An 18,418-nucleotide genomic window follows, 5' to 3' on the forward strand; every position below is an offset into this window, starting at 1 on the left:
CACGGATTCCCAAAAGCCTAATAAGCCAGTTGCTCCAAGGAGCCCCAGAGGGGAAGGAAGCACGTGGACTGAGGAGTCACAAAGCCACCCACAAGCACAACAGCTCAAAAGCATCCCAGGTCCAAAGACCGCACATGAGGGAGCAGTGGGCAGAGGACTAGGTAGGGGAAGGATGAGGGCCAGAGGAACCTCCTCTCCTTGAGGAAAAGCCTTGCTCAGAAAGGTGACCAGGAGTGTGGAGAAAAGACACCACAGACAAGCACAGCCTGCTCGGGGGCAAGGGCGTGCTTGGTGACTCCTAAGCAGCTCAGTGTTGCTTTCCAGCATCGGTCCTCCAACTTGACCTTGCCTCCAAGTTCCTGCAGAGCTTGTTACAATGAAGACTGCTAGGCTCCACCCCAGCAGTTTCTGACTCAGTAGGCCTGGGGTGGAGCCTGAGAATTTGCATTCCTAGTAAGCTCCCAGATGAGGCTGCTGCTGCTGGAGACCCTCCGGGAACCACGGAAGCGTGCAAGAAGATGAGGCCAGGCCTGTTCAGGGCTCCTACACCATGCAAGAGAGCACGGAAGGCTCAGCAGGAGACTGGAATGATCAAACACATCTTTTGGAAGTATTACTTTGGTGGTAACATGGAGAATGGGTTGGAGTGGAATGAAATGAAGGTGGAGAACAAGAGATGTAAAGACTCAAAAAACCAAGGCAGGGCAGTGGAAGGGAAATGAATGGGATGGAGGAGGGGCTCTGGGAGAAGCAGAAGTAAAGGACACAGGAGATGGGTGAGAAGAGAAAGATGGAAGGTGGGCTGACTCTAAGGTTCTGGCCCAGGTGAGTGTTAATGATGGTCCTGGGACCAAGGCAGCAACAGAGAAGGAAGCAGGAGAGGACACAAGAGGAGGGAGGAGAAAGCATGGATTCAGCCTGAGACAGGTGGGGTTTGAGGTGACCACCACAGCCAGGCTCCTGGTAGATGTCTGGAGGGAGGTGGATCTGGGATTTGAGAGCCACGTCTAGCCTGGAGATGGAGGCGGGAGAGGCGATCACAGGAGTGGATGGTGACATCAGAGTTAGTGATATCTCCAGGGAAGGTACAGGAAGAGGAAACCTGGAGGGAGGCTGGCAGTTAAGGGATGAGGGGAGGAAGCAGAGTTGTGCAAGGAGGAAATAGGAGAGACACAGGACAACCACCAGTCAGGGGCCTCCAAGGGGCCAGAGGGAGGAGGCAGTTTCAGGCAAGATGCACAGCTTCCGGAGCCAGGGTGTGTGCACTGCAGGGAGCTGACGGGTGGAGAAGCCAGGGTGAACACTGTGGTGCACTCCGGGATGTTCGGCTGCAAATAGAGAAGACAGGGCAGCAGCTAGAGAAGACCCAAGGCCAGAAGTGCTGTGTGGATGTTTTGACTCTGTTTGTTTATGGGTGGAAGGCACTGGAGCCACCGAAGTGGAGGAAGAATGAAGTGAGAAAGGAGAGTACCGATGGAGTCAGGGTCCCTAGAATCCAGAATAGGACGCAGGTTAGCTCAAACTCGCTTCCCCAGAAATAAAGGAGAGGGATGGGAGAGTACAGGAACGGGCTGGCTTTAAAGAGTGTCCAGTGTCAAGTAAAGCACCTGATCTGGTCCCACCCCTAAACAGCAGGCTCACGGGAGAAACTTCAAACTTGGTAGCATTGCTGAGTCAGAGGTCATGGTTTAAAAGGGGAGCAGGGTACAGGGCATTCCTCTTGGGAGTTTCAGCCTGAAGGACGCATTCAAAGCGGTCACACCTTTGCTGCCCACTGGCAAGGAGAACTGCTAAGATCCTCCAAGAGCGGGTGTTCAGGGTCCCTTCAGACTCCTGACCCTCCACTTTGCCTGGAGCAGCCACATCCCTCTCTGCCTGGAGAGGGGGAAGGAAGAGATTCCAGAAGCCAGGTCAGAGCATGGAGAGTAAGCAGCAAGGGCCCAGAGAACTCTGCCATGGAAATCAGCCATGAAACCAGACTCCAGCCACAGAGCTCCAAGGGCCTGGTGCCATCAAAGATAGGTTATCTCAAAAGACTGTTGCCTAAAAGTTGGATGTGATTGTGAGGGTTGGGGAAACACTTGGAGGCTGTGCTGCAGTGGCCAGGCCAAGCCAGGTTTTACAAGTTCACAGCAGCTGCGGTTGCTCTGCGGCCAGCCTAAGGGATGTTTAATAAAAAGCTGTGCTCAATTTCACCCCCTTCACATCCCTGAATTCAGCCTCTTTATTTATAGCCCCAGACTAGGCATGCAGTGGGAAATCAGAGAGGCCAGGAAAAGGAGAGGGAAAGGAGACAGACAGAGATAGAAGGAGTTAACAGGCAACAGCTTTTAAAGGGTAAAGCGTTTCAGAAACAGAGAATTCACTGGCACTCCCTGCTGCTTTTATTGCTTTCGTTCAACAGCTGGAGAAAATGTTTGATCAAAATATTTGTATTATTGTGTTTAAGTGAAATGACATATGACAGCTCATTATCCCAAACTCAGAATTCCCACAGCATCTGTCACAGCCACCCTATTAGAGACAGTCGCTCCCCCTGGAAGATGGAGGGGCAGGGGGCGGGAGATGTGAGACAGGAAGCAGCAGGCATCAGACCCCAGACGGTCTCAGCCTCACAGGCCCTGGCCCAGGCTCTGGTTAAGCACGAGGGGAGATGCTGGAGGGAGACGCAGGTGATGCCTGGGGCCTACCCCGGGAGCCCCCCTTCCCCTGGACACCAGCAGCCTGCCAGGAGCACGGGACCCAGCAGGGGCTCTCGTGTCCATGGAAATGGCCAGGATCCCCTCTCTTAGACATTACTTGGCAAACAGCATTTACTGATCTAAAATTTAACAAAATGTCTCTCTCAAGCCTTTGTCCTTTGAAAGAAGAAAAAATAACTTTTTAAAAATTATCATGCCATTTTCTCTGTCCTGAAGTGAGTAAACGTGTAATTCTGCAGAACTTGGCTTTATGAGCCTACGTTCCTCTCCATGACAACCTTCAAGGGCCTCAGTTCTGCTCAGGCCATGTCCTTCTACGACACCCCTAGTGGACAGATGTCAGGGTATATGTTCTATACCAGACATACCAGGGAGGGAAAATCATCTACCAGCTGCTTCCTGTGTGCCTAGCCCATTTCTGAGAACTTACTGGCCTTATTCAAATCCCATGACAATCCCAGGAGGCATATGATATTATCTCCTCTTTGCGGATCAGATTATGCTCAGAGAGGTTAAGCAATAAGCCCAATGACTCACAGTTGAAAAGTGGAAGAGTGAGGACCTAAAGCCACAGCCTTGACTCCCTAAAGCAGATTTATTTTCCACAGCCTGCAGGTATGACCACAGAGAGAAACGACACGTGAAGAAGAGTGCTCAGTGGCTGTGGGAAGGCAGGAATCAATGTGGATGTACTTGCACATGCCCTCCTCATCACACGCTGAACAAATTCTCATTATTAGACCATAGAAAAGTTTGTTTTTATCCCCATCTCTCTGTCTCTGTGTAATGTACTAAAAACTGACCCACGCTAACGGAAAAAGATGCTCTACATTTTAGCCCCATGTCAGCCATTTCCAAAAAAAAACCTCAGGGGCCTTCCCTCTTGAAGTTTTTGAGTCCCAGTTTCCTCACCTATAGGATCAGGGAGGTGATGTGTTTCTGTTTCATGGGGCTCCTATTCGATGTACAGCAGAGGGCTCTGAGGCAGTTCCCCAGAATAACCTTGTACACATGACTCCATATCTCTGAACATCCATTTTCTCAGGTGTAAAACCTACCATATAAACCTACTGGTCATTTTAGGAATCCAAACCAAAATAAGATCGTGTTTATAAATATGCTTTACAAGCTGGAAAGTGCTGTGTCAATTTAGGCTATCTTCCACCCTATCATTTGGGACTACCACAATGCCTCATTTCTAGCAATGCTTTTCACCCCAATTACAAATGTCCCTTATTCCCCATTGGGTCAGATTTTTCAGCTACCCCAAGAGAAAACGGAAATAAAATGGGCCCAGTATAGAACTCTCTTTATCCTGCTTGGGTACAGAGAGGATAGGTCGCAAATATCACAACCCAATTCCTATTTATTCTCTCAGAGTGTTTTGAGGCTGAAATACATAAGCTTGCGTGGGTAGAAGAGGGGACCCTTGTGGGTGATCCTAACAGTGGGGCATCCAAAAGGAAGAGCTGTCGCCATTCATCCAGGGATACATCTGCCCTGAGAGTGGCTCTATCCCCTGCCTGCTCCCCCGTGCCAAGGAGAGGGTGGTGATATCAAGGAGTACAATTTACCAAGGCTGAGTGAGTTCTGCCCAGGGACTTCATGCTCCGCCCTCTTCCCCACTATCCACATAGGGATCCCTGGACATGCCATTTTCAGAGCAACCAGTTGCTACATTGATAGTAACTTGACATGTTTGATCAGCTTAAGGCCAAAACTTCGGGTTAGGAAATACATATGCAAGCCAAGGTTTCACATTCTCCCAATAATGCTCACTTTGAGTGATTACTTCCTTTGAATTCGACACCATCTCCCATACACATTGTTTTTATAACTGAAAAGCAATCCACCAACCAACCAATGACTCATTCAATCAATACATGAAATAATTGAAATAGAGCATACTTAACAGGCTTTTTTCGTTAACAGTAAACATATTTGTAATTTACTAGATTTGTTTTTTTCTGTAACTTTAAATTTTTGTGCAATGAACATATTATATTTATTTAATTATTTTTAGAGATATGTTAGTTTAGTTAGTTATTTTTAGAGACAGGGTCTCACTCTGTTGCCCAGGCTGGAGTGCAGAGGTGCGATCACAGCTCACTGCAGCTGCGACCTCCCGAACTCAAGTGATTCTCCTGAGTAGCTGGGATGACAGGCACTCACCACACCTCACTAATTTAAAAAAAATTATTTGTAGAGACAGAGTCTTGCTATGTTGCCCAGGCTGGTCCCGTACTTGTGGCCTCAAGTGATCCTCCCACATTGGCCTCCCAAAGTGCTGGGATTACAGGCATGATCCACTGCATCTGGCCATGATATTTTAAATATAAGACAAAACACACTTTCGAAACAGTCTGACATTCTAGAAGTCTCTGTGACAGCATGCACATGCCAAAGTATTTTCTCTCCATGAGGATCACGGGCACGTTAGTGCCAATCCACTCTCTTTCTCTGTAACCAGCATCAACATGTCTTTGTAATGAAGAGCTGCTCATTGGATAATGTGTTTATAAAGTCTGTGTCATCCTCTTCAAGTCTAAACACAGGCAGCTTTCTCATAGCAAGTGGGTAGTTAACATGCCAAGTCAATCAATACCAGTGTCTCCCACTCCCAACCCCAGTATTTTCTCACGGAGCTGAAAACAAAGACTTGGGAGCTGCCCGGTGCAGCCAAAGCACAGATAAAGGGACTGTGACTGTGAAAGTCCAGCAGCATGTGGCCACCTTCTATGCTGTGGAAGGAGGAAGCCACAGCTGCCTGGTGCAGTGGGTTGAACTGTGTCCCTTTAAAAGATATGTTGAAACCCTCACATCTGGTATATGTAAATGTGACCATATTTGGAAATAGGGCTTTGCAGAAGCAATCAGGTTAGATGAGGTCATTAGGATGGGCCCTAAATCAATACTCCTAGTGTCTTTATAAGAGGGGATCTGTGGCTGGGCGTGGTGGCTCACACCAGTAATCCCAGCACTTTGGGAGGCCAAACTAGGCAGATCGATTGAGCTCAGGAGTTTCAGACTAACCTCTGCAACATGGTAAAACCCCGTCTCTACAAACATAAAAAAAAAAAAAAATAGCCAGGTGTGGTGGTGCACGCCTGTAGTCCCACCTACTTGGGAGGCTGAGGTGGCAGGATCACTTGAAGCCAGGGGGCGAAGGTTTCAGTGAGCTGAGATTGCACCACTGCACTCCAGTGTGGGTGACAGAGCAAGACTCTTTCCAAGAAAAAGAAGAGGGGGTGGGGGTTTGTACACAGACACACCACAGGAAGACAGCCATGGAAGAGAGGCAGAGAGTGATGCTGCCATGAGACAAGAATTGCCTGGGGCTTCCAGAAGCTGGAAGAGGCAAGGAAGGATCCTCCCTTAAGATTTCAGAGGGAGGATGGCCCTACCAATACCTTGATTTTGGACTTTCAGCTTCCAGAACTGACAGATAATAAATTTCTGTTGTTTTGAGCCCCCAGTCTGTGGTACCTTGTTCTGGCAGTGCTAGCAAACATACACACCTGGGTTTCCTTACAATTTTGTTTTGGGAAGGCCGCCCTATACCAGTGACTTTTGAAGAGGCTACATTCTCTTCTCCTGTGAGTAGGAGTAGCAGTAAATATTGACAAGAAACAAAGAACCTAACAACCCTCAGAAGAGCTGAGAAGAGGAAAGCATGTGCAGTATGCCCATCGTCATTTTCTGGCTGTGAAGCATCTATTCCTTCTTCCCACAGAACTCTGATTTCCTTTGCAGAATTAACTTCTCTCCTACTGTATTTAGGCATTCTGGGGTGATAAATAAAAAATCCAGGACTGGCGTGGTGGCTCCCGCCTGTAATCCCAGCACTTTGGGAGGCTGAGGTGGGAGAACTGCTTGAGTCCAAGAGTTCGAGACCACCCTGGACAACACGTCAAGACCTGGTCTCTACAATTTTTTTTTTCTTTAAATTAGCCAGGTATGGTGGCATACACCTCTGGTTCCAGCTACTCATGAGGCTGAGGCAGTAGGATTGCTTGAGCCCGGGAGGTGGAGGCTGCAGTGAGCCATGTTGGCACCACTGCAGTCCAGCTTGGGCGACAAAGCAAGACTCTGTCTCAATTTTTTTTTTTAAATGTATAATTGCTTTAATATGCTGCTGAATTTCGTTTGCTAGTATCTTTTTATTTATTTATTTATTTATTTTATTATTATTATACTTTAAGTTTTAGGGTACATGTGCACATTGTGCAGGTTAGTTACATACATATACATGTACCATGCTGGTGTGCTGCACCCACTAACTCGTCATCTAGCATTAGGTATATCTCCCAATGCTATCCCTCCACCCTCTCCCACCCCACAACAGTCCCCAGAGTGTGATGTTCCCCTTCCTGTGTCCATGTGATCTCATTGTTCAATTCCCACCTATGAGTGAGAATATGCGGTGTTTGGTTTTTTGTTCTTGCAATAGTTTACTGAGAATGATGGTTTCCAATTTCATCCATGTCCCTACAAAGGACATGAACTCATCATTTTTTATGGCTGCATAGTATACCATGGTGTATATGTGCCACATTTTCTTAATCCAGTCTATCATTGTTGGACATTTGGGTTGGTTCCAAGTCTTTGCTATTGTGAATAATGCCGCTGTAAACATACGTGTGCATGTGTCTTTATAGCAGCATGATTTATAGTCCTTTGGGTATATACCCAGTAATGGGATGGCTGGGTCAAATGGTATTTCTAGTTCTAGATCCCTGAGGAATCATTTTTTTAAAAAATCCATGAGCCTCACTGCCCAAGACAGCCAGGGTACCTGGCTCTGATAGCAGACGGCCTCTGCTGAAAGCCTGAGTCCTGAGCCTGAGTTGGGGGAAGGAGAAGCAGTCAGAGCTCATTCCCCCAGGGAGACTCTCACGCCTGCTTCCTATGCCTCTACAGCACCTGCTTCTCGAGATTTTCTGACAATTTTAAGACAATTCTATGTCATCCCAGCAATTCCTGTTGGTGCAAGGGTTGGAATCAGTTTCTGTTGCATGTAACCCAATAGCCCTGGCTGATGCAGGAGGAAAACCTCAACAGCCCAGCCACCGAGCAGCTGTACAGGCTGGGTGTGCACTTAACTTCTTGGGCTTCAGTGCCTCACCAGGCAAGTTACACCAAATCTCTTCCCATGCCTAGGATTAGAACATTTATGATTCTAAATGTTTCTGCTATAAGACGTAAATTATCTAAGGCTCAGACATGGTGAGCTGAACTGCAGGTGAACAGCAATCCTGCTCCGGCTTGTCCCTAAGTCAAGCAGGGTCATTTGAAACTTTTGTCTTTAACAACCCCCTGAATACAAGGATATGGGAGTGCCATCTCAGTTCGCCGGTCACACTGGCGCAGAAATGCCTAATTGTGGCATATTATAACATACAGCAAACTCAAAGCTTAAGACGCTTTGAACTCCATTCTGCAGATAGATGCTGAGTTAATCACAATTGACCTTCCATGTAGCAGGTGAAAATAGTGAACATGTACTAACTCACACTTTTGGAGGGTAGAGAATCCGGAAGCGGCTTAGCTGAGTGGCTCCGGCTGAGGGTCTCTCAGGAGGCTGCAGTCACCTCAAGGCCTGACTGGGGGAGAGTATGTTTCCAGACTTGGCTCCTCCCCATACAGCCTCTCCACCAGCTGAGTGTCCTCATGGCATGGCCACTGTCCACCCCAGAGTGAGGGATTCAAGAGGGAGGGCAAGAGAGCCACCTGAGTCACAGTCCTTTTGTAATCTAATTTTAGAAGTGCCATCCCATCACTTCACTGGAAGTAAGTCATTAAGGAAAGAGGAAGGAAGTCCCACCTCCTGAGGGCAGGAGTATCAAAAACTTGTACACATGTCCTTAAACCCCCCACAGTGCCATAAATAGCTGAACTTTTTATCCAATCTCCGATTTATACAGTGACATGATTCAAAGATCAAATGTATCTTATTAAAAAAAAAAGCAGGACTAGGAGGCAAAAGACTGTGGCTTTGATTCAAGTTCTGAAAGCAGCTCACTATGTAATTGGGGAACCAAGATAACTGATTCTCCAAGATACTTAGGGAACCTCTCTGCAACTATTTCTTCAGCTATTACACTTTGGCCAAGTGCTATGCTTAACACACATGACCTCACCCAGTCCTTTTCACATTCCAGTGACGTAGATATCTGAATCCTCATTTCTCAGCTGCGAACACTGAGGCATAAAGACACTAAATCACCTATCCAAGAGCACCCAAGATAACCCAAGATAAGGAGTCAGGATGGGGCCCTAAATCTGTCTCTCAAGCTTCAGATGTAGATTGGCATGTGAAGAGACTCAGAAAAGAGGAAAAGGTAGAAATAAAAGTGCTACAATCTGATAATGCATTACCATGAACCATAAATAATAACAGAGTTAATAAAAGAAGTGAGAACAATAGTAATGATGGTGCTGATGATGATGTTAGGCATGTGGGTGTCACGTGAGGGGCCAGCTGACTTTCTAGTATTCACTGTGCATCTCTTTCCTTGACTGTTCACTGTATCTCTGAGGACGATGTGCTTTGTTTGGTGCCCTGTACAAGTATATGAGCATACTTACGGTCTCCACTTGAAGAAGATGAAAGCATTGAAAAATAAAATGGTGCCAGACAGTTAGGCCAGTAGTTAGGAATCTATCATCTTCAGTAAAATCCTGAACTTCACTTCTCCAAAAGTCAACATTAGTCTAAATTAAAGATGTTGTCAGAAAAGAAGATAATGCATCACGTAAAACCTACCTAGACATACTGCGTACCCAACATCCTTCAGTACCCAGTTCAGTCTCCTGTGAAGACGCCCTGACATCTGCACCCTCCAGCCTTGTTCACACATCCGCTCTAGCATTTCCCACTTCCCATCTCTACAGTGGGTAAACAGGCAGGGCGGGAAAAATGTCTTACTAATCTTTGAATCCCATAAACACAGCAAGGAATCTGGCATAAAGTAGGCATTTCCAAATATTTACTGAATCAATGAACCACTCCTGAGATTACTATGTGTAATGGGTGTGAGATTATGAAATCATCATTTAATAAACACACATTTCTGAGATTCAAACTCTTGGCTTAAAAAAGGTTTAAAGATGGATTGATTCAGGGAAACATTTAAAGTTACAACATTGCTATAGACTGAATATATTCTTCTAAAATTCACATATTGAACTCTAATCCCCAATGTAATGGTATTTGGCAGTATGGCAACTGGGAGGTGTTCATAAGGGTGGAGCCCTTATGAATGGGGTTCCTTTTAAAGAGGCCCCAGAGAACCTATTGGCCGTTCCACCACGTGAGGACACAGTGAGAAGAAGGCCATCTATGAACCAGAAGACAGGTCCTCATCAGACAACAAATCTGCTGGCACCTTGATCTGAGACTTCTCAGTCTCCAGAACTGTGAGAAATAAATTTCTACTGTTTATAGGCCACTCCATTTATGGTATTTTGTTACAGCAGCCTGAACAGATTAAGACTGTGATACTGCCAGGAACTTTGATAATTATTATCTGAATTTATCCAAAGAAACACTGTGAAATTGCCTTCATTTTACAGGTGAGGAAACTGGGGTTCAAACAGAATAAATAATCTGCCCTGGGTCCTTCATGGCCAGTCCTGAAGCCGTGTGTTTCTAACTCCTGGTCTGACATGTGCCTGCTACTGTGTGCCCTGAATTCAAGTGGGCAAATTCAGGAAGGCACACTGAACTTGGCTTGATGTGGACTGATAATCAGGTACTAAATGGCTGCTTCTTTTTTTTTCTGTTTCATAATTTACACCCAGATTTGGAAAGATTTGGAAGCAGATTACATCTTTATCACCCAAAGTATGTTTTCAGAAAGAATCTTGTTTCTGAGAAGCATAAATTTAGTTTCAAATATTTATAAAAATTACTCTAAATAAAAGCAAAACTCCATGAAAAAGAAAATGCACTGGCATAGAGAGAAAAGCGAGAAGCGAAAGGAAGTAAGAGGAAAATGAGAGATGGGGAGATAGGATGACGCCGTGGGGAAGGAGAAAGAAAATCAGGGAAAGATTTAAAAAGAAGATAATATGTACTTAAGTTAATCACAGATGATAGAAAATCTTTTCAGGAAATGTACATCTGAATTTAAAAACAGCATTCTTTAGTTCCACTTCATCAAGCAAACAGCAGAATCTGCAAGGTGTGAATCCTCCCACTTAGGGCTGGGCCTTAATAGACTGTGTGTGTCCAGTGCTAGCCTCGGGGGAACCAGCTCTCCATACACATCTGTTGAATGGAAATCAATTTTCCTCAAGCAAAGAGGCAGCTCTGTCTCTCGTAAACAAGCACCTCCACGTCTGCAGTCACATAAGACTGATTTTAATGAGCGGGGTGTGAGGTCACGCCCGAGGTACATCCGCTTATCCAAGGGGCCCAGACACCCCACCAGGAAATCAAATTTCTCAGTACATACCTCAATGATGAACCTTCCTTTTAGCCCCTAAAGGTTTCTCTCATCCTTTTTGCATTTGGTTTTTGGCCAAGCAGGCTGGAAAGTATAAAAGCCAAAAGAGGCAGGGGTGGAGCAGCCGGGCAAGCAGGAAGAAGCATGTGTTTTCTGGCCTCCATCTCCCCAGCAGTTCCAGCATGTTCCGTAATTGGGCAGCCTGGCCTCACCGTCCAACAGGCATCCTCATGCAGCCCGCAGTTTCCATGCTGCTCACTGTAAATGTCTGATATCTGCACGTCCTCTGAGAGCACAGCCCAGAGGCTGAGCATGCTCACAGACACCCACTCAGCACCTGGCCCTCAGAACTGTGCTGTCCCCAGCCTAAGGCCTCAGGGTCCAATGCCCACCCCTCTTGCTCCTGCAGAAATCTAGGCTGCAAGGTGCTCCTAATCTCTGTGTCCCTCCAGCTGCAATAGGAACCCTAGTCACAACAGATCTTATGGCCACATGAGCAAGGACGGGCTCCTGCCAAGGCATCTGGTAGCTTCCTGCCCAGGTAAGGTGGGCCTCCCTGGTGGGCTCTGTATTTGTTTTGCTGCTGGACAGAAGAGCTCCTTCTTTTAGAATCATTTGCAGCAGTGGCCTCTACATACTGGTTGGAAATCTATAATTATATGGAATAAATAGACACAAAATGAGAACAAGAAGGATTGAAGTGATGAATGTTTCACACAGCTAAAGTTACTCATTTTCAAAGAATGTCCTCTGCTCAATAATCTGTTCTTCCTACTTCGTGGTGTGAAAACAGCCTTTGTGTTGTGAAATGGTAATGACAGCAGAGAATGCTCTGGGAATTGTTTGCTATTTTCCAGTGTCCCAACTTACCCCAGCCCTGCCATGCCCATATTTGGACAAATATCTGGTATCCCTATGTTGGTATCTGCCCCACAGTATTTTTTTGGAGGGGAGGGGGCGGTGGGGAGGGCGGATATTTTTTCCATTTCTTACTGCCAACAATGTGGGAACTACTGATTTGTAGTAATTAAAGACTGTGAAGATTTCCAAAGAGAGAAATGGAACACAAAATTGTGTCAGGTGTGGCGGCTCACACCTGTAATCCTCGCATTTTGGGAGGCCGAGGCTGGCAAACTGCTTGAGCCCAGGAGTTTGAGACCAGCCTGGGCAACACAGCAAGACCCTGTCTCTGCTCAAAATAAAATAAAATAAAATAAAATAATTAGCCAGGTGTGAAGGTGCAAGTCTGTAGTCCCAGCTACTCAGGAGGCTGAAGTGGAAGGACCCCTTGAGCCCGGGAGGTCGGGGCTGCGTGAGCCGAGATCACACCGCTGCACTCCAGCCTGGGCGACAGTGACCCTGTCTCAAAGGGAAAACAAACAAACAAACAAACAAAAAACAGAAACACAAAAGCATCAGGGTAGCTAAAAAGAAATGGCACCAACTCATGAACTTGCACAGAAGCACGGAGTGTATTCAACTCAGGCGACTGAGGGTATTTGGGCATAAGAAACAGGTCGCAGGACAACAGTCACAGGGCTGACACTGAAGGCAGGGGACAGCGAGAGTTCTGCCCTTGCTGACTGAGAATGGCACTGAGGGCAGGCGATGCAGAGGGGCCAGAGAACAGAGCAGGAGCTGGCAGATGAGAAAAGTGGAGGGAAGGTGGCTCTCTTCCAGGGTTTTTGTGAATGGATGGGTGGGGAGTATTTCCTCCACATTCCAGAGGAGGGAGGAACAGTGACAAGGCCAGAGGGTGGAGAAAGGCTTAAGGAATCTGTCTCTGGGGACACTTCACAAATGCACAGCAATCTCTGCATCTCTTCACGCCTGCTCAAAGAACTGCTGCCTGCTATCAGCAACGCGACCTGTGTTTTGTTTCCATTTTGTTTACTGTTGTTGTTGTTTTAAAAAATAACCAACCTTGCCGGTGGCGTGCTGGATTTTTTAAACTTTTTCCTCTTCACTGGCACACTCACAAGTTTGTTTAGTGTAAGTCTGAGAATCCAAAGGGGTTTTATGTGCCTCACATTCATAAATCCTCAACTGCTTTTCAACCAAATTTATTGCCCCTGAGGATTGAGGGTGAATGGAAGAGTCAAAAGGAATCTCCTGGGCTAGAAGGAGAATGCACAGAGCTGTGTGCACACAATGTCAAATATCCAGATGAAAAGTGAAAACTTGAGCAAATCCTCCAGATGCTTCCAAGGACCTGAATGCTTGGTGAGTCCGCAGAAATACGTGGATGCTTAATGGAACTTTGCACCGTTAGTAGCAATAGTTAGCACTGTGTTTGTACAGCCCACCACGGAATTCACAGATGTGTCTAGACTTAACTTTGTCAATCCTGATAAATTAAAAATGATATGTTATGCCTCCCTCTAGAGTCATGACCAGCATCTTCAGATTAGACTAGAAACCTCTAATCTAACAGATTAGAAAACTATGCCTCTTCTGGGGAGACCTAGCCCCTCTGGCACTCAGCTTGGTGAGCTGATGGCGCTTTCCGCAAACTGGAAAGATAGACTCTTCCTCTGGGTAGCTTGGTGAGCAGAGTATGTGTTCAAGTTTAGCCCCTTATTTCTGTCCTTTGTGCAGTAAACACCCAGCACAACTGTACACAGACACCCTGCCTCCCTCTACAGTGCCCAAACACAACTCAGCTAGAAGTCTGACCATTTCAAAGTAAGAGGATAGGAAATAATACATGATTAAGACTTCTTTAGCATAAGCCACACACACAAATAGATTCCACAATTACAGAGGGAAAAAGAAAGAGAAAGGGAAAGGAAAAGAGTGAAGCTGCCCTAAAATGGCTTACCTTAGCATAATAAAACCATGGGATTTCAGAGCTGGAAGGCATCTTTTTAAATTATCTATTTATCTATTGCAACCATCCCTTGCAAGAATCCTTTGCACGACGTCCCCATCCCACCCTCCACCAGCAGTCATCCAGCCTAACCTGAAACACCCTCCCACCCCTGTCTCTGAGAACTGGAAGTCTGACGCCATCACCCTCCTTTCACACTGCTCTATGCACAAGAAATCCTGTCCCCTCCACCCCACCACACTGGCCTCCCTCTAACTTTTGCCCAGCCCATCAATGCATCTTAGCGCTGCATTCTGACGCCACCTACATTAAGTGTAATTGCTTTTCTATGCGATAGCTCTTTAAGTACTGGTAGACATTTAACCATGGCCCCCTACAATCTTTTGTTTTCCCAGCTAAATAAAGGCACCTTGCTTTAATCCAACCCCTCCTACAAAACTAAGTTAACTGCCAGCATCCATGAACAAATCTGCGGTTCATCACAGTCACTACAGGGCAGCCAAGAGCTGGATAAAGAAAGACATTGCTTTCACTGACAGGCAACCCCATGTTTTGGAAAGTAGAATTCCTGGAAGTCTGGCACCTCAGGAAATTTAAGTCCCACACAAACCCCATGGGCTATAATAAGATATTGCTGATGTTTTGGCTGATATGCACCAGAAAGCCTTGGGAGGAAAGTGGCCTAGAGACTGTAATGAATGAGAGCATAATGTCCTGCCCTTGAAGCCACACAATCAGAAAGTGAGAGGACTACAGAAAAACCAGCAGGGCACTGGCATTTTCCAGTTGAGCATTCTGAGCTGACAGTGAAAATAACGAATGAAACACGGCAGAGCAGAAGTGGACTTTATTTGGAAAACCTTGTTTTCCCGGAACTGAAGCTAACCTCTGGGACGAGAGGTTTCAGAACAATGAAGAATCAACAAATAAGATGAAGAGACGCCTACTGACAAAGACAAATTCCATACCCTGGAACTGGACATCTTCCTGGCAGAGGGAAACATCCTGCTCTAAAATGGGCACAATCAGCAGCAGTTATGAACGTCGGCTTTTCCACTTGCAAAAGAAAGATTTTAACTTTGCCTGACAGGAAGGAACACTGACCAAGAAAACAGTAAGTTATGGATTACTTTGCTACGGATGCTGGCTATACCTCTTTAGGATACTTTTTTTATAGAAAACCAAGCATTACTTTTCTGTGAATGGAATTAAGTGTCAGGAATATGCATATCTTTCTTATATAAGGCTTTGTTTTATTATAACAGCAAGAATCATGACTGATGCCTGAAGGCGGCCACAGATAATGCCAAGAAAAAATGGGGTAGTAAGTGGAAGAATCTCACAAAAAATTCTGTGTAACAAAAAGACAGAGGAACCAACCTCTGTCTTATTCCTTTCTTCAAATGTTTCCAAAATTTATTGTTAGTATCTCCATACAAATAAATTAATTTTCAGTTTTATAGTAGAATTCAATTTTAAAAATTCCTTTTACAACCAACTTTTCTAAAAATCCAGCATAGGATACCCAAATAAAGGTGCATCTCCATTCATTCATATTTTCATTCATTCATTCATTCAAACTTCAACAGATACTGATTGGTTGGATGCCTATTATGTGTCTGCATCATGCTAGGCATTCAAGAGGCCGTGTCAGCAGCACAGGCAACGGAAGTGGACATTCGTTATTTCCACATACAATCACCTACTTTAAAACCATGGTAAGTCCAAGAAAGGACAAGCCCACGGTGTGAAGAGAAAGCCATAATAAACCCGGTAATTCAGAACAGAGGTCAAAAACACATGCCCTGCACAGCATCTACAAAACACAGGAAGCCAACACTTGGTTTTGTGAATACCACAGTGTTGCAATTATCTTAAGCTGTTTTTAAGTTATTTCCAAAATATTATTTTTAATTAAAGTAGAGCACATACTAACTTTAAATGATAGAGGGAAAAGGAGGGATTTGCAATTAAATGAATAAATAATGGAACCGACACATTTTGTTTCTTTTAGTAAATGGGTTCCTGAAAAGCAACATCAACTTATTCAGTGATTGTCTGCCCCAAGGACAGTAGACACCCAGTGCAAAATGGCTCCCAGCTCTGGTTGGTGGCACATGAGCCTGTGGTGGTTTGAGAACGACAAGAGTCCAGAACAGCACGAGCTTTGGAAACCAGTCAAACTTGGGTTTGAATCCCAACTCTACCACTAGAGATGCAAACTCTGGAAGGCTATTCATCTTCTGTAAGCCTCAATCTTCTTCTATAATTACTACCAGAGTAGGAAAAGCAGTATTAAAGATTATTAAGGACTTACTACAGGGTTGGCTGAAATAAATAATAAGTAAATAACAACTTGCATAGTCTATCAACCCTTATCCACACTAAGTTTTGCCAGAAAGTCTCCTGCCAAGAGTGAGACTGGACTGAGGCCGAAAACAAGGGGCAAGGCATGCATGCAGAGTGCTGGGATCGGATATGAGTACCAGCGAACTACAGCATAAGATCTGCTCAGGTGAGGCAAGTTCAGCAGTGTGAGAGTGTTCTCATAGGTGCCAAGTTGCAAGGTAGCTCAAGGGGTCAGATCAAGGGGTCTGGACGGTGTTGTCAGTGAGTAGCTATGGTCTGAGCAGGAAGGTAATCTTGGGGGCATTTCAAGAAGATTAACAAGGCAGCAGTATGAAGGACAGACTGGAGAACAGAAAGTCTGAAGGCCATTACCACAGCCCAGACATGAACAGGACACCAGGAATAGAATGGAGGTGATACTTCAAGAAACTGTGTCATTTTCTATGGGCCAAAGGCAGGAGAGCAGGCCTGAGGAAGGTAGAAAATGTTTCAAATAGCCAATATCAGGTGCATGAGACACAGCAACAAGAAATAAAGTTCTAGAGCACTTAAGCTTCCCTGAAGCTAAGCACCTTTTCTACCAGCTAGCTCACCTAGCTCTGTTCTTTCCTCAGCTCGCTCTCTTTAGTCCAGGAAAAGGAGCACAGAAACCAGGTGGGATGGCTTAGGTTTGCACAGTCTGTAACGTGATCATGAGCATTGCGGGTAAGCTGGAAAAACACTAGATGACCCATTGTGAGCAGTGCACCCGGTATGGGGAATGTTAAAGCAAGATCCAGAAAGTGGCCACCCTAGTGCTTAGCTCCAGGGTGTAAAGCCCTGGACATCCAGGAAATAGGAGCCCAAGAAGAGGAATAATAGAAAATGGAACCAGTAAAGACAGACACAGAGCTTGTGAAGGACAAAAAAGTGTGCCAGATGCTGAAGACTCCCACAAACAATGACAGGGGAGATTTTACCCCACTATTCACTGCATGACAGGAATTTCATCTGCCGTCTATGATAATATCATGGACTCTTTCTGGAAACCAACGCTTTTTCTCCAAATGCATTATGCCTCACTGTGCATATCTGGGCCCCAGAAGACTGTGTCCACTGTTATTATAAGCAGGAAGCCAGCCAGGTATCTTCAGTTGATGAGGAACAAGATTTGGGCTCAACTGTTCAGTGACCTACTTAGCTTTATTTGGTTATATGACCACAGAATATAGTTCTATGGTTATGGGAGCAAAAACACAGCTAGATAGAATGAATAAGATCTAGTATTTGATAGCAAAACAGGGTGACTACAGTGAACAATAACTTATTATATATTTTAAATAACGAAAAGGGTGGAATTAGAATGTTCCTAACACAAAGAAATGATAAATACTTGAGATGGATACCTCAATTACTCTGATGTGATTATTACATATTGCATGCCTGTATCAAAACATCACTTGTACTTCATAAATATATATGCCCATTATTTCCCATAACAATTAACATTAAAATTTTTTAAATTAAATATAATATACTTCTAATCCCAACCAACATTCTTTCAACTAATAACTATAAGGATGCCTGACATTTACTGAATGTCAGAAGAATCTATGGGCTAGAAACGTGTTCTCCCTATGAAGAAGGTACCACTGCCATCCCCACTGTAGAGGTGCATATCTGGGCACCAGGAGACTGTGCCCACATGAGATCATGCATCCCAGCCTGCCCAAGAGAGAGGAGACATTCAGTTAAAAATAAATAAATAAATAGGGCCGGGTGTAGTGGCTCACATCTGTAATCCCATCACTTTGGGAGGCCGAGGTGGGCGGATCACTTGAGGTCAGGAGTTCGAGACCAGCCTGGCCAACATGGTGAAACCCTGTCTCTACTAAAAATACAAAAATTAGCCGAGCATGGTGGCAGGAGCCTGTAATCCCAGCTACTCACTCGGGAGGCTGAGGCAGGAGAACTGCTTGAACCTGAAAGGTGGAGGCTGCAGTGAGCCGAGATCACACCACTGCACTCCAGCCTGGGCGACAGAGCGAGACTCTGTCTCAAAAATAAATAAAGCCCAAGGAATGCCAGGGATGCTCGTATGATGTCTG

The 18,418-nt window shown here is 45.4% G+C and overlaps 1 protein-coding gene across 8 annotated transcripts in view; it reads right to left on the reverse strand.

The window, feature by feature from the left end:
* GLI3 (GLI family zinc finger 3) overlaps positions 1-18,418 on the reverse strand; it is a 303,320-nt gene that overhangs the window by 133,859 nt on the left and 151,043 nt on the right. The gene's annotated exons all lie outside the window — the stretch shown is intronic.

This window comes from Homo sapiens, chromosome 7, assembly GCF_000001405.40.
Source record: "Homo sapiens chromosome 7, GRCh38.p14 Primary Assembly".
Classification (NCBI taxonomy): Eukaryota; Metazoa; Chordata; class Mammalia; order Primates; family Hominidae; genus Homo; species Homo sapiens.